General features: G+C 32.7%; 1 long non-coding RNA gene across 1 annotated transcript in view; it reads left to right on the top strand.

Moving 5' to 3' along the window:
* LINC01609 (long intergenic non-protein coding RNA 1609) overlaps positions 1-11,058 on the top strand; it is a 137,243-nt gene extending 126,185 nt beyond the window's left edge. Inside the window, exon 4 of the long non-coding RNA NR_125418.1 lies at positions 10,880-11,058. This is a non-coding gene — a long non-coding RNA (long intergenic non-protein coding RNA 1609). The remainder of the gene's footprint in view (positions 1-10,879) is intronic.
* Positions 11,059-16,707: the final 5,649 nt, after the last annotated feature.

Genomic DNA, 16,707 nt, shown 5'->3' with positions numbered 1-16,707 from the left:
TTAGCATTCCTGTAACACATTCTTCAGATATATAATTCTAAATAAATCTCAATATCTTTTCAGTCATTATTCAACAAATAAACTTTGTGGGTTACCAGAAAATAGTCTTAGGTGTGAAGTCAAACAACAAAATTATCAGCATACTATTAGCAGCAGTCTGAATTTCAAACCTTATATCTTTAAATGTATGGCTTTTTTCCAGTTTAATCAACAATATTAAAAATATTATTATCATTATTATTTGATCCAAAGAGTAGCAGTATAATTTCCTAGTTATATAGAAACTCTGAAGTCAAGTATGCCTAGATTCAAATCCTAACCTCGGCACTTATCAACAATGATACCTTAGGCAAGTTACTTTGTCTTTTTGTACCACAACTTAATTTTGCCGCCTACAAAATTAGTCTAATACTATCCACATTACAATTTTTTGCGAATTCAATTTGTTTATCCATGTAATGAGCTTTGAACAGTGTATGACACACACCAGGCAGTTTATAAGTGATTATTATAAATATAATTTTCATTCTCTTTGAGGAAACAAAATTTTATCATAAGAAAGCTGCTTCGGTTCAAGTTTTTTTCCGACCATTAATACAGCCCATCAAACACAGTTAGTTGTCTCTTTCATTAACTTGTGTCTAGCTAACTACCTTCGTTACATTTCAAAAACCTACTTTCTGCTTCACTAGAATGTTGATTCCAATTTTAAGCAGATGTCCTTCAGTTTTACATGATGGAAGTCATTTACCTATACCCTGAATAACATTTCCACCTCCTCTTTCTGGACTTTGTTCCTCAGTCATTTACCCAGTTTCTTTACATTGTTTTTCTCATTCTCTCTATATCCTTGACTAATGCACATATTCAAGTATCATCACTCCTTTATCTCTTGATACTTTACTAAGTATCATCACTCCCCACTTTACCCCTAAAGAACACACCCTAAATGCACTCTCTACTGCCTCACTTCCAGTTTTTGTATGTATCTCTGTTGTGTCTCTGGAACAATTCTCATTAATAGCAGCTGCAACTTCAATGGTGCCATATAAAATCAGCAAGTATAGCTTTGGTTTTTAAATGTACATCACTGCCAAATTACAAAATGTTACTCATTTATTCGTGCAGCTCTACTCCCTGAATTCCCTGACTCAACATGCTCCTTGTTTTCACACCTTTGTGCGTAGTAATTTTGCAACATCTCCTTTGTGGGCTATTAAACTTTGTCCTGTCACTTAAATGCTGGTCTTTTTAAGGGTTCTGCACAAACACTTTTCTCTCACTCTTTAAGCTACTGACAGCTTCCTTCCTTTCTTGGAATTTTTTCTACCAATTCCATACATTAACATTTTTCTAGTCAATATAACACTTCCATACAGTAAAATGCACATATCTAGTGTACAGAGTTTAATAATCTTTGACAAAGTCATCCTAATCAAAATATAAAATATTTTATCTTAGAATGTTACACTATGTTCCTCTAAAATGTACTATGTATTAAAATATTCAAATTAACTTAAAAATCTTAAATTGTTCAATAATTTTAAAATGCATATATAGAGCATATGTCATTCTATGTTTAGTGTTTTTGTTAAACTTCATACCATTTTCCATAGTGGCTGCACCATACTTTATCCTCATCAACAATATATAGTGATTCCAATTTCCTTACATCCTCATCAACAATTCTTATCTCTGTGTCTCTCTCTCTATATATATACACATATATATATGTATGAGTGTGTATATATGTATATATATGTATCTAGGTATATATACTATATATAAAATATATGTTATATATAGGTTTAATATATATTATATTATATATTATGTATTTCTTATAATACGTAACAATATCTCCTTTTGTGTGTACCATATATTACTTCCTGGTATGTATTCCAAAAAACTGAAATCAAGATTTTGAAGAGATACCTGCACTTATTAATTGCAGCATTATTCACAGTAGTCAAGATACAAAAACAATCCAAATGTTTATCAACAGATGAATGGATTAAAAAATATTGTATATACTGCCGGGAATAGTGGTTCATGCCTGTAATCCTAGCACTTCGGGAGCTCGAAGTGGGATGATTACTTGAGCCCAGGAGTTTGAAACCAGCCTGGGCAACAGAGTGAGACTCCATCTCTACAAAAAATAAATATATATATATATATTAGCTGTGTATGGTGGTGCATGCCTGTAGTCCCAGCTACTTGGAAGTCTGAGGCAGAAGGATTGCTTGAGCCTGGAAAGTTGAGACTGCAGTAAATTATGATCGTGTCACTCTATTCCAGTCTCACAGCAAGACTGTGTTGAAATAATAATAATGATAACAAATATAGCATATACATACAATGGAATATTATTCAGCCTTTAAAAGAAAAGGAAATATTGTAGTCCCAGCTAGTCGGGAGGCTGAGGCAGGAGAATGGCTTGAACCCAGGAGGCAGAGCTCCTAGTGAGCCGAGATCACGCCACTGCATTCCGGCCTGGACGACAGAGCGAGAGTTCATCTCAAAAATAAATAAATAAATAAATAAATAAAAAGAAAATTAAAAAAAGGAAATACTGCCTTTTGTTACAACATGAATGAACTGGCAGGACATTATGCTAAGTGAAATAGACCAGTTACAAAAAAACAAAGACCACATAATTCTGTTTATATAAGATGTCTAAAATAGTCAAATTCCCAGAGCAGGGAATAGGATGATGGTGGCCAGGAGCCAAGGACAAGGAAAATGGGAAATTGTTACTGGGTATTAAGTTTCATTATGCAAGAAATATAAGTTCTACAAATCTGCTGTACAGCATAGTACCTATACTAAATACACTATTTTGCACTTTAAAATGTTAAGGGGATAGGTCTATTTTAAGGGTTCATGCCACAAAACACATACACACGCACACAAGGAAATTTTTAGAGGTGGTATATATGTTTAGTTCTTTGATATCTTTATTATAGTAATGTTATCATGGTGTATGCATATATCCAAATTTATCAATATATACATAAAATATGCAATATTGTATATATTAATTATATATCAATTTATCTAGCTTAGATAACAAAAAATAAAAATTTATGAAATTAGATATATTCATATATAAATATTTATATAATTAAATGCTTATATTGGAAAAGAAGAATAATCTCAAATCAAAATCCTAATATTTCTTATACAAAAAACAAACAATAAAGTAAACCCAAAACAAACAAGGAAGAAAATAATAAAAATAAGAGAAGAAATCAATGAAATTAAAAGCATAAAATAATAAATAAAACATCCATTAAATCAAATATTGCTGCTTTGAACATAAAAATAAAATTGATAAAACTTTAGCAATGCTAATAAGAGATGGATGGGAGAGACAGAGATAGAGAGAGAGAAACTACCAATATTAAGAATGAAAAACAGAACACCACTCTAGATTATCTAGATATCAAGAGGATTATGAAGGAATATTATATATGACTTCATGCCAATAAGTTTACTGAGGAAAAATAAATGAATTCCTTGAAAGACACAAACTACCAAAGTTAGTCAAGAAAAAATACAAAAGGAATAGCTTTGTAAATAGTAAGAAAACTGAAAAATTTAATTAAAACATCTTCACATAAATGTATGTGCACACAGATGCACATCCACAAGCAGACCCTTAAATCATCATGCCCAAATGGCTTCACTTGTAAAATCTTACAAATATTTAAAGAAGAAATAATATTTCTATACAAAACTTTTCAGATAATAAAAGGAATTATTAATATTAACTAACTCACTTTCCATAGTATTACTATTTTTCTTTCAATTCTTCAGATTTTAAAATTTCTATATATCTTCAAGTTCACTAGTTTTTTTTGATAATTCTAATGCAATGCTGAAACTTATCTGATTTTTATTTTAGTTAATACATTTTAATTTCGAGGATTTTCTTTTTTAAATTTCTGTTGAGCTTCTTCACCAATAGTATATTATCCCTCAATTATTTGAAAATATTTTCTTTTAACACTTGAGAATATTTATGCTATCTGATTTGAATCCATCATCTGCTTAATCCAACATTTAACCCACTGTGAGTCAATTCTGTTGACAGATTCTTCTGACTTTGCATCTCACTTTCCTGTGTCATTGAGTCTTTAGCAATATTTAGTTGAAAACAGTATTTTCTACAATATGTTGTAGCAACCTTATATTCTGTCATATTTTTCTGTTAATTAATTTTTAATTCTAGTAGATTAATAACTTGCATGGCTTCAGTTTGAAATTGTGTCTCCCTGTGGTGTGTAGCAGCTAATTATCTCTACTCTAGTATGATGACCTCTAATAGTGGAATTTTTTAGCTTGGTCCTTATATGTTTCCCTTGGGCTTCAAATAATTGGTGCTCAGTTAAATATCTAAGCAGAGATGGAGAGTAAGCCTTCTTTTGGTTTCCAATTTTCTGAGGTTGTTCCTTTACTTTCAGAGTATCTCATTCATTCCCTTATAATCTGTACTTTGACATTTCAAAGCTACTCAGCATCACATTTTTGCTACCTGAGCTGTGACTGGTTGAGAATGCAGTCAGTTAAATGAAGCAACAAACTGACAGACAAGCTCCCTGAAGCTCTCACTTTCATGAGTGAACTCTCTTTTGGTATCTACTTGCTTTTATTATTTTTTAAACTAAGAAGAAAGACAGAGATCTCCTTTTTGCATGCATAATTTAGCTTTGAGTCTCATATTTTGGGGAGACTGTCCACTGATTGGGTTCTCACAGTTTCTGTGGTTCTTGCATAGAACCTTTCATGCTTCCTTCCAAGCCCTGAATTCTGATTTTATTGCCTTTAACAAGTAGTGCTATGATTTTCCTGCCACTGGTTTATCTTAGTTTTGGAAGTTGAGTTGTGCCCTCAAACTAATAAACAAAAACTGTTGATAAATACCCCATTCAGTTGTATTCATTTTTCATAATTAAATTATTCTACAACTTCTGTTGCATATTGGATACTTTAAGAGATTCCATAAATTAATGAAGTTTATATAATTAGAAGATTGGACAGTCAATATTCAGGCCCACGTTTTCCTGAGCCAAACAAAATGACTCTTCCCCTCCAGACTGCATTATGTACAATACTTGGATATAAATGGATATGTGGTCCTACCAGGCTATTGTGTCTACCTTGTTTTTCCACGTGAAGCTTATGCTATCAGTGTGTCCAATCACAAGTCAGGTTCATAGAAAAAAAAAAACTTCATCTTTAATAGCTGTATAACTGAAAGACCATTAATTAGCTCTAGGATTTGAGAGTTTTTTCTTGAGAGCAGTTTAAATATTTTAAATTGTAGGCAAATTAATTGATATAGCAGTGTCGAAACTTTTGAATTAAAGACCCCAATTAAAAATCTAGACAAAATAAAACGTTCCCATAGATAATCGCTAATATGTCATGAAAATTGTTACTTTATATGATTAACTGAAATACTAGGCAATTAAATAAAATTTTGAAATCGATAGACTCCAGGCAGTAGTGGTGAGGGGGGCTGCCAAAAAAGTACCCATCTCAGCAAGCAGTCTCTGTCCAACACAGCCGAAGCAGATACAGCCAGCACATGTTCAGCCTTGGAAGCCTCTTCATCCTTATAGCTCTGAGATTCCCTTGCCCATTGAGAGATACCCTGTGGCATAACCCAGTCTGACCCCTAAGGACAAATAGGACCAATTGGGACTAAGTAGTGAGAGCCACAGTCAGAACCACTTAAACCAAGCAGACAAAAATAGCATTGCAAATGTTTGGAACTTTAAATTGTCATTGAAAACAGTTCAAATAAGCAGGCCAAACATGCATGCTAACCTAAATAGGATACCTGTCTAATATAATAAAAGATTTATATAGTGCCAAACGCTTCCTAATATAATATGTAAATGACCAGGATATACTTGAAAATTCTTCATCACACCAAGAACCAAGAAAATCTCAACTGAATTAAGAAAGGACAATTAACTGACATGAACACAGAAATTAAACAGTTGTTGAATTTTTCTGAAAAGGATTTTAAAGCAGTTGTTATAAAAATGCTTCAACAATCAATTTTGGTCATTGATTTTCTCGAAACAAAAAAATCAGAAATTCTGAGTAAATATTTTGAAGTTATAAAAATAAATAAAAATTGTAAAACTAAAAATTAAATGCCAGACAAAACAATTTTCTAGATGAACTCAAGAGTAGAGTAGAGTTGACAGAGAATAGAATCAGGGAACTTGAGGACAGGTCAACAGCATCCATCCATCTGACCAAGCAAAAAACAGACTGGAAAAAATAAAAAAAATTAAAAAAAGACAGGGACATGTGATAAATAACAACCAAAGATTCAACATCTATATTATTTAAGTTTCAGAAGAGAGAAAGTTAGTAGGGCTAAACGTGTATTAACAGGAATACTGTAATGGTTAAACATTTTCTTTTCTTTTTTTTTTTAAGATGGAGTCTCGCTCTGCTGCCCAGGCTGGAGTGCAGTGGCGGGATCGCAGCTCACTGCAACCTTTGCCTCCAGGTTTCAAGCTATTCTCCTGCCTCAGCCTCCCGAGTAGTTGGGCCTACAGGCACACGCCACCATTCTCAGCTAAATTTTTGTCTTTGTTTTTTGGAGAGACGGGGTTTTGCCATGTTGGCCAGGCTGGTCTTGAACTCTTGAGCTCAAGCGATTCACCCGCCTCAGCCTCCCAAATTGCTGGGATTACAGGCTTGAGCCATTGCGCCTGGTCTGGTTAAGCATTTTCTAATTTGATGAAAAATACAAACCTACAGAGTTAAAAATCTGAACATACCCCACACAGTTAACCCTCAAATAATGCCAAGAGATGTTTAATTGTATTTTTAATACAATTTTTAAGACAAAAAAGGAAAGAAAAAATCTGAATGCTGTGAGAGAGAAATGATGTATTACCTATAAGACAGTACCAATTCTAGTAAGAGTAGTTTCTTCATCTGAAGCCATAGAGGCCAGAAGAAAGCAGTACAACATTTTTCAAGCTTTAAAATAACTTTTCAACTGTGAATTCTGTAACGATCAAAACTATCTTTCAGAAATAAAAAGTAAATAAAAACATTCTCAGACAAAGGAAAATTAGATTGTTTTGTCACTAGCATATACCTAAAAGAAAGTTTTCAAAATAGAAATGCAATAATAATAGAAATAATTTTGAAGCATCTGGAAGAAAAAAAGAGCAACAGAGCAGAAATATGTCTGCATAAAATTAGTAGCCTCTTCTCATGAGTTTTATAAATTGTATTTGATAATAATAATTAAATTATAACATTGGATGATACCCATAACAATGATATTTAAAAGTGGGGTCAGTAATTGAACTTAAATGGAAGTGACACTTTATTGAAAGTGGTAAAATTTTGAAACCATCAAACTGTAATTAATCATATATGTAAATCATACACAGGGCAACCAGTAAAAAGAAAATACACAAAGAAATATAATGAGAAACCCAAAAAAAACCTATTAAGTAACTCACAGAAAGGCAAGAAAGAAGAAACAGTGGAAAAAGAATCAGAGAGAAGAAGTGAAAAACAAATAATGAAAGACAAACTTAAGAGAAAAAAAAATTCTGGTCCAAAATTTGAAGTATAAAAATGAAATATTAAATAATAGAACAATCTTTAGCCAAAACAATCTAAGAAAGAAAAACTTAGAGTTTATAAAGGGTAAACAAAATGAAAGAAGGAAATACGCTAAATTATTAAGGAAATAAATTGTAATTGAAGACTTTTAAAAGTAAATCCAGGTAATGTATTTTGCATGTGGCTATAAATATTTGAATGAATATTATATTTTCCCATTAGGAACTTTTTAAACCTATTTATTGATAAAGAATTCATATAGCATATAATTTATCTATTTAAAGTGTACATGTCAATGTTTTTAAAAATATTTTCACAGAGTTGTAATATCATCCCCACATTCTAATTCTAGAACATTTTCAACACTCAAAAAACAAAAACAAAAAACTACATATTCATTAGCAGTAACTCTTTATCATTGACCTTTCCTTACCACATGCAACTACTTGTATGGTCATAGACAACCATTGCCTATAGTAATCAATTGACTAATCAATTGCCTGAAATCATAGGCAATCATTAATCTGCTTTCTCTCTACATATATAGATTTGCTTATTCTGGAGATTTTATGTAAATCGAATCATAATACAATCTTTTATGACTGGCTTCTTTTATTTAGCATAATGTTTTCAGGGTTCATCCATGATGCATCTTGTATTAATACTCTGTTCTTCTTTTGGAATAATATTCCATTTATGAATATATGACATTTGGCAAATCCATTTATCAGTTGATGGATATTCGGGTGGCTTCTATTTTTGGCTACTATGAATCATATATAAGCATCCATGTAAAAGTGTTTTTTTTTTTAATTTTTTGGTGCATATATGCTTTTCTTTCTCTTGAATATATACCTAGGAAGAGATTCTGTGTTTAACATGTTGATAACTGGCAAATTCTTTTCCCAAATGGCTGGAACATTTTATAATCCTACCATCAGCACTTGAGGGTTCCAATTACTCCACATTGTCTCCAGAGCTTGTCTCTTCTTTTTAATTATACACATCCGTGTAGGGTCCAGCCCTACTGGTTCCGTGGGTTTTTTCTTCTCGTGTGCGGAGATGAGAGATCCTAGAAATAAAGGCACAAGACAAAGAGATAGAAGAAAAGATAGCTGGGCCCTGGGGACAACTACCACCAAGACGCTGAGACGGGTAGTGGCCCCGAATGCCTGACCGCGCTATTTATTGTATACAAGGCAAAAGGGGCAGGGTAAGGAGTGTGAGTCATCTCCAATGATTGATAAGGTCACGCGAGTCACGTGTCCACCGGAGAGGGAGCCTTTCCCTGTTAGGTAGTGGAGGCGGAGAGAGGAGAGAGGACAGCTTACATCATTATTTCTTCTATGCTCTTCTCAGAAAGATCAAAGACTTTAATATTCTCACTAATTCTGCTACTGCTATCTAGAAGGCAGAGCCAGGTGTACAGGGTGGAGCATGAAAATGGACCAGGAGCATGACCGCTGAAGCACAGCATCACAGGGAGAGGTTTAGGTCTCCGGATGGCTGCGGGTGTTCTTGACTGATATCAGGCCTTCCACAAGAGGTGGTGGAGCAGAGTCTTCTCTAACTCCCAGGGGGGAAAAGGAGACTCCCTTTCCCGGTCTGCTAAGTAACGGGTGCCTTCCCAGGCACTGGCGCTACCGCTGGACCAAGGAGCCCTCTAGTGGCCCTTTCCAGGCGTGACAGAGGGCTCACACTCTTGCCTTCTGGTCACTACTCACGGTGTCCCTTCAGCTCCTATCTCTGTATGGCCTGGTTCTTCCTAGGTTATAATTGTAGAACAGAGATTATTATAATATTAGAATAAACAGTAATGCTACAAACTAATGATTAATAATATTCATATATAAACTTATCTATATTATATTTCTAGTATAACTATTCTTATTCTGTATATTTTATTATACCGGAACAGCTTGTGCCCTCGGTCTCTTACCTTGGCACCTGGGTGGCTTGCCACCCACACTGCCTAGTGATTATGATGTATTGCTGTCATTTTGATTTGCATTTTCTTATTGACTATTTTTGTATTGCTTAAATGTACTTGACATACTTATAGGAGTGACATTTTGAAATAGAAGACTTTTAATTTAAAACATGTTTATTAAAACAAGAAAGAAGGACTAGGAAGAATGATGCCAAGGGGAAAGAGCTGTATGGTTAATACTAAATTAGTACTCTTTTCAGGCTTAGGAAAATCCAGTTACCCATCTTACTAAAGATACCCTTTGCTTTCTTTTAGCCCATTCAGACATGTCAAGGGAATAAAACATTATTTTCATATATTTTCTCATAAAATGAACTCAAGTATGTTAGAATACAAGATACATTATTTATAGATAATAAAATAAAAGTCTAAAAACTAAAAATAATAAAATATTACTGTATTTATTTTACAATTTTAGATTCCATTGGAAAACTTCATCAGAAGTAGATTTTCTCTATATTGTAATGTATTTCCAGAAAAGCTGAACACATATCCATCGCTATTAAATATAACTATTTAAGACATTTTTTCTGAACCCCCTAAAAAAACACTTAAGAAAAGTGTTCTGTAAAAATCATCCACAAAGTTCTCCAATTGAAGCGGCAATGGGGGCCACTCATTCTTCCAGGCCTTTGGTCCCAGATCATGTATTGTATCTCCTTTGATTTCCAATTATCATCTATTTCTTGGGGTCATTTTATGATACCTTACCTGCAGTTTAAAAGACTCGATTAATCTGATTAATCTTTTGTGAGCCTTCTAGATGTCATATGATGTTACTAATTTATATTGTAATATTTCTGGATACAGCTAATGCTTCAGTACTCATTTGCATGACTAAGATAACCAAGCAAGTTTGTATCCTGTTGAGGACTTTAAGGAAGTGTAGAGTTTTGGGAGATAGATTGCATACTCAGAGCATGTGAATGCAGCACAGACATAGAAGGAACCTGAGCTTTAGTAAATTAGAGAAGAAAGATAAAAACTGGAAATTGCTGCTGAAAATTGCTAAATGATGTAAAGTAAGACCATAAAAATAGATATGAATTGCATCAGTGAAATTCCTATCTACATTTCTAAATAGACATTTATCAGGTCTGATTTAAATTAGAATAATCTCTTCTCAAACTAAATATTGAATAGTCTTGTCTTGTTCATTTTCCAAAGTTAGCATTTTACTTAGCAAATATGATTATGTTACTCCACTGCTAAAACCATCAATTGGCTTCTACTTCCTCTAATCTACTTATCAAGTATATTTATTTGTTATACCAGGCATTCATTTTGTGAATTATGAAGAATGCAGTGTTTCAAAATGTGTGTACATCAAAGATCCTGCATGACCTTGCCGGTGTTTATTTCTCCATTTTAAGACTCTTTTTCTTTCAACCATTCCAAACTTCAGATCTTACATCACAATATTCTATCAAGAAATTGCATGGGGACCGGAGTCAAAGGCCAGTTCTGCTTCTTCCATCCTTAATGCACAAGTAGTTTTTCTTGATCTTCACCTTACTCATTTCAATAACAAGAAAATTTTACTTGTCTTGTAGGCAATGGCCTGTACCAACATAATTATTTAAAGTAATTTGTAGCATATGTCCAAGCAAAGAGCTGCAATTTAAATAAGGCTATTTTCAAAGGGGAGTTTGCTTTTCCTTTTCCTACATTGCAGGTATTAGTAAATCTTTTATTTTTCATATACTGATATAATTTGTTTTATGAGTGCCTATATATTTGCATGCATACTGATAATCTATTAAGTGCTGCACATTTTATATAGCTAAATATTTTTATTTTCAAAATTCTTTTGAAGCATTCCAGGAAATTGTGGAGCTCTATGAAGAAGATCAAGTATTTTCTTATTTTTGAAGATATTGCGGAAATAAATAAAACAGCATCTAGATAAGTGCAAAATGTTGATTACAATTAATATAAAAGCACAGCTTTCTGAATGATTTCCTGTTATGAGAAAAGAACAGTTAGGAAAGTAATTGACAATTACTTACATGTTAATTTATTTAAAATATGTTTGAAGATCTAGTAAACTATTAACATATTAATATACTCTGATTATCTATTTCACTAATTAATACTCTTAGGTATATATACATGATAATATATAATAATAAGTTACTCTTTAGTTTTTTTGTCCATTTTGAGAGTTTTCTATTCTCAAGTATACTCCCCAGGCTAGAGGGGAGATGGTATTATTGGTAAATGGAAACTTTCAGAACCCTTTAAATCACACTAAGCAAGCATACTCCAATCTCTTCCCATTTCAAAGTTGCATAGGAGAAAAAAATACCCTTTTGTTAGGTCAAAACGCTCATGTTAGGAGCGCTGTACTATAAAGTAAACAATTACTGAATCTCTGTAGGTTTAAATGCCAAAGATAAAAGGATGTACTAGACCTCTGAAATTCTGAAAAGTTCCAAATACTTCATAACTAAAGAGGAGAGAGCACTGGTGATATTACCATCCTAAATACCTCTTTTTTTTCTTCCTGAGATGGAAGCTTGCTCTGTAGCCCAGGCTGGAAGTACAGCGGCGAGATCTTGGCTCAAGCAATCCCGGCCTCCTCGGTTCAAGCATTTCTCTTGCCTGAGCCTCCCAAGTAGCTGGGACTACAGGTGCCCACCACCACACCGGCTAATTTTTGTATTTTTGGTAGACACAAGGTGTCATGATGTTGACCAGGCTGGTCTCGAACTCCTGACCTCAGGTGATCCACCCGCTTCCGCCTCCTATAAATACCTAATTCTAAATAAAATTAGAAGTTTTGAAAATAAAGCAGGCCACTTATTAGACACAAACGTGGACCATTACGTAGTGAGAAAAGAAACAAAAGATACTCCAAATAATTCAAAAGGTTTAGAAGCAATGTAAAATACATGAAATTTATGTTAGTAATGTGCTTTAACTTAACTCATACATACTTTTAGTATTACATCTTAATGATCAGCTTTTAAGTATAACCTTGGAAGAAAGGTGATTGATAAGTTAACTGATAAAGTTTTAAACATTGCCTTTCTTAAATTATGGTTAACAATATTGCACCTAGCATGTCATTGTCACATAATCAATTTTGATGGACACAGGATTCATAATTCTATAATGAAATATAATAAAATATTTTTTAAAAAGATGCTTCTATCAACCTGCATTTGAATGCCAAGTGCTTTACTCATAACACTAAATTAATGACATTAGTGTCATTTTCTCAGCAAGAAATCATCAAAGAAGGCTTAAATGTAGGGGAAAAAAGGCTTTTATTCAAGCACACAACTTCAATAATGCAAGGGGAGTGTACCCAATTACCAGTAAGCAAATTGGTTTTTGTAGACATGTTCTACCATTGTCAAACTTTCTCCAGTGTGAAATTTCCAACCAAAGATATCAAATATATATATACACACATAGTGCCATTATCTAATGAATTTCATAGGATTTGGTGACAGATGAAAAACACTCTGTTACATGAAAGCAAGAGCTAAATTCCTATCCATCACGAGTTTAAATATGCTATTGATTTTTTTAGCTACGTTGTATTTTACATAGGTTCCTGAGACTTGCAGAATTCAGTGAGAGGCAACATTTAACCTATAAATTACCATTGAATTGCATTAATATTAAAAGTACTTTATGTGTGTGTGTGTGTGTGTATGTCAGTAAGCTACACAGAATTTATGTTTGGAAAGATGCAAAATAACAAAGAATAGGCTAAAAATAAGATTTTGTAAAGCTAAAGTAAAAGGAAGGGAGTTATCTATATCTGTATCCTAGATCTCAATTTCTATCTAGATAAATGTATTTGTAGGCAGATGTAGACAGATATAGATACAGAATAGTGTTTTATTACTTGGAAATATGTATGCTACCCCTCTGTGTTTAAAATTATCAATTTTATAATTAATTGCGTTAAAGAAATCATGCACCATTAGTGAGAGTTATCAAAGAAATGATGAAGATTAGTCCACAGTTTTGGTCTTACAATCTTATTTATTTTCTGGTAAAACTACAAACATTCTCATTCTAAAATCAATTTTAGTACTCATTCTTCTTTAGAGTAAATGTAATAATGATTCTGACTTTATGTTTTTAGGCATATTTGCCTGTCGTCATTTAAGTTTCACCTCTTCTTCCGGTTCTGCCCCACCTAAAGGCAAGCTAATACAAAAGCCTGGGTGCTCACTCCTTTGCCACTGGTGGGAAGGTCTAACCACGTAAGCACCTAACTTCACACAGCTCCACAAAAACCATAACCCAATCATCCAATCATCTTTTCCTAGTCTCTCCTCTAAGGTGCACTTTTGTACCAGTTTGGGAAACCTGCATTATTCTCTCCACAAAGCTTCAAAATGTTGGTCATTAAACTTTTTAACTCCTCTTGGTGTGTGTGTGTGTGTGTTGCATCAGTCTCAATATCTAAACCAAATTTTGGCTATGAATCCATCCTGACTCTGAAAAATTGCTCTAATAGTGAGAACCTTACAATTGCACATATTTTGTTAAATTCAACAATTCTTAAAATTTGTATTATTATCATAATTTGATTTAATATTAATTTTGATGCAATTTAAATAATATAACTAAAACATAACTATAATTAAAAATAGAAAACATACCAAAGTACGGACTTAATGTGTACATAAACTTAAAACATTTCTTAAAAAGTTACAGTTGCAATAAAATAACACATTGCCGTAACATAAAGCTAATTCCATTATGTCGAAAAAATGCCTGAAATGAATATTCAATTTTAATTTTTATTTATTTGGCAAAATGGTAAAATAAACACATTAGGAATCATGCACCATAATTACTGATTTCCACAATAGGACATGGCAGAATTTATAACTCTATAAGGAGTCTGCATCACAATCTATGAGTCTAATGTGTTTCGTTATATAACTGTTATTAATATTGTAAATATGTGACTGCAGTAAAATTATAAAATTTATAATTATGAGAATTTCAATATTAATTTCTATGTGTAATAATTATTTTTAAACAGATAAAATATTTTTTAGCCTACATTAATAAATGCTAGTTTTATGTTATTTATTTTTAAATTAAATTTTACAAGAGAAATTCAATGTAATTACTAATAGAAATTTAAAAAATGAGTTGTTCTAGTATTATCGGGTCAACATTATTTATATTGACACAATTTGTTCATATCTAACCTTTTTGCACCAATGAATGTTTGCTACAATATGCAATTTATTAATGCATTATGCCATCTTGGTAATTTCAATATTTTTATAACTATAAATATTGATTTATTTTAGTCATAAAATATTAATACCTGACATTAATAACCAAATTTTCCTCTCTGATTATTAGATTCATACCCAGCTACCTATTTCAACATTATGTAGGTGTCAACTAAACTTTTTAAACTTAGTGTGTCCAAAACTGAACTTCTAATACAAGTTTCTATTTCTCTGCAATTGCAACTCTTTTTGTAGTGTGTAAACTCAAGTAGATGTAATCATTCTTGTTAAATTTTCCACCTCTGCTGTGGCTTGAATATGTTCCCTTTAAATTTCAGATGCTGTCATTTTGATAGTGTTAAGACATAGGGCCTTTAAAAGGTGATTGGGCTGTGAGGATTCCTCCCTTGTGAATGGAACTAAGGCCCTTAAAAGAGGGACTTCACACATTATTTGGCTAGCTTGTGCTTCTGCCTTTTGCCATGTGAGGACACAGCAAGAAGGTCCTTACCAGATTAAATGTAGGCATCTTGATCATGCACTTTCCATATTCCATAACTGTGAGAAATAAATTTATAGTATTTATAAATTACCTGGTCTCAGGTATTTTGTTGTAGCAAGACAAATGGACTAAGACAACATTAAATGTCACATTAGTCTGCCATCTACTACTTACACCTCTATTCCCAAAATATATCCAAAATCTGACCAGTTCTCAAACCTTAGAATTTTACCACATTGTGAGCTAAGCCAACATCGCTGCTTAAAATGATCCTTGAAGATCCATCTTGGTGGCCTCTTTCTTCATAACTACTATGCATATCTCAACTCTTCAGCAAAATTGATTGCCTTATATGCTATGTCATATAGTACTTAATGCATCTTTACTACTGTATTAGATTCCTCTAGCTACTTTAACAAATTACCTAAAACCTGGTGGCTTAAAAACAAAAGGAATGTATTCTTTTACATTTCTGGAGTCTCACATTCCCTTCACAGGCCCGAGGGAACAGTGTTTCCACACTGCATCTAAATTCTTAGAGTTTCTAGTGTCGCAGACTCTGCTTCCATCTTCATGTAGCCTCCCCCTCCTCTCCTTGTGTGTGTCTTTTCTGCGTGTCTCGTATAACAACACTTGTCATTGGATTTAGATCTGATGCAGCTAATCCATGATGACCTCATTTCATTATCCTCAATTAATTATGTCTTCAAAGATTCTTTTTCCAAATAAGGTCATATTTACAGATTATAGGATGATTTGGATGTATCTTTTAGGGGCCATGATTGAACCCACTATAACAACTATTTATATATTTATTTCATCTGAACTTTTTTCTTTCTCTTTTCTCCCTTTCTCCCTTCCTCCTTCATTTCCTTTCTTCCTTGGACTAATGTGACATGAATGAGGTGATAGCATCACAATATTTAAGGAAATAGACACACATACAACTAATATTCAGAATAAGTAACATTATAAGATATTGTTTAAAAACAATGAACCAAATGCCAATATTTTTAATAAAGACAAGATCAGAATTACTAATTATTTTTTTTCAAGCACTCTAAAATGGTGCTTTTTTATATATGTCAGTTTCAGGTGTCTCTAATTCTCTCACACACAAAACAATGTTAAATTCCTCACTACAGCCTTAACTTTTGTTAAAGGTCAATAATTATCTTTGTCTATTTCACCACAGAATACAACATATAGCATTGATACAAAGGATGCACTAAAGGATGGACACAAATGAAAGAACTGAGACATGAATTTGTTCTTAAGAAAATTATTCTCCATTCTTTGAGAAGTCAACTGAATAGGATGAAGAAACTGCTCTATGTTATCAAGTTTTTAAATTTTGTATTTACTTATTTACTTTTGTTGTT

Source organism: Homo sapiens, chromosome 8, assembly GCF_000001405.40.
Source record: "Homo sapiens chromosome 8, GRCh38.p14 Primary Assembly".
Taxonomy (NCBI): domain Eukaryota; kingdom Metazoa; phylum Chordata; class Mammalia; order Primates; family Hominidae; genus Homo; species Homo sapiens.
Note: the sequence above shows the minus strand (reverse complement) of the source record. Positions and strands in the feature narration are given on the sequence as shown.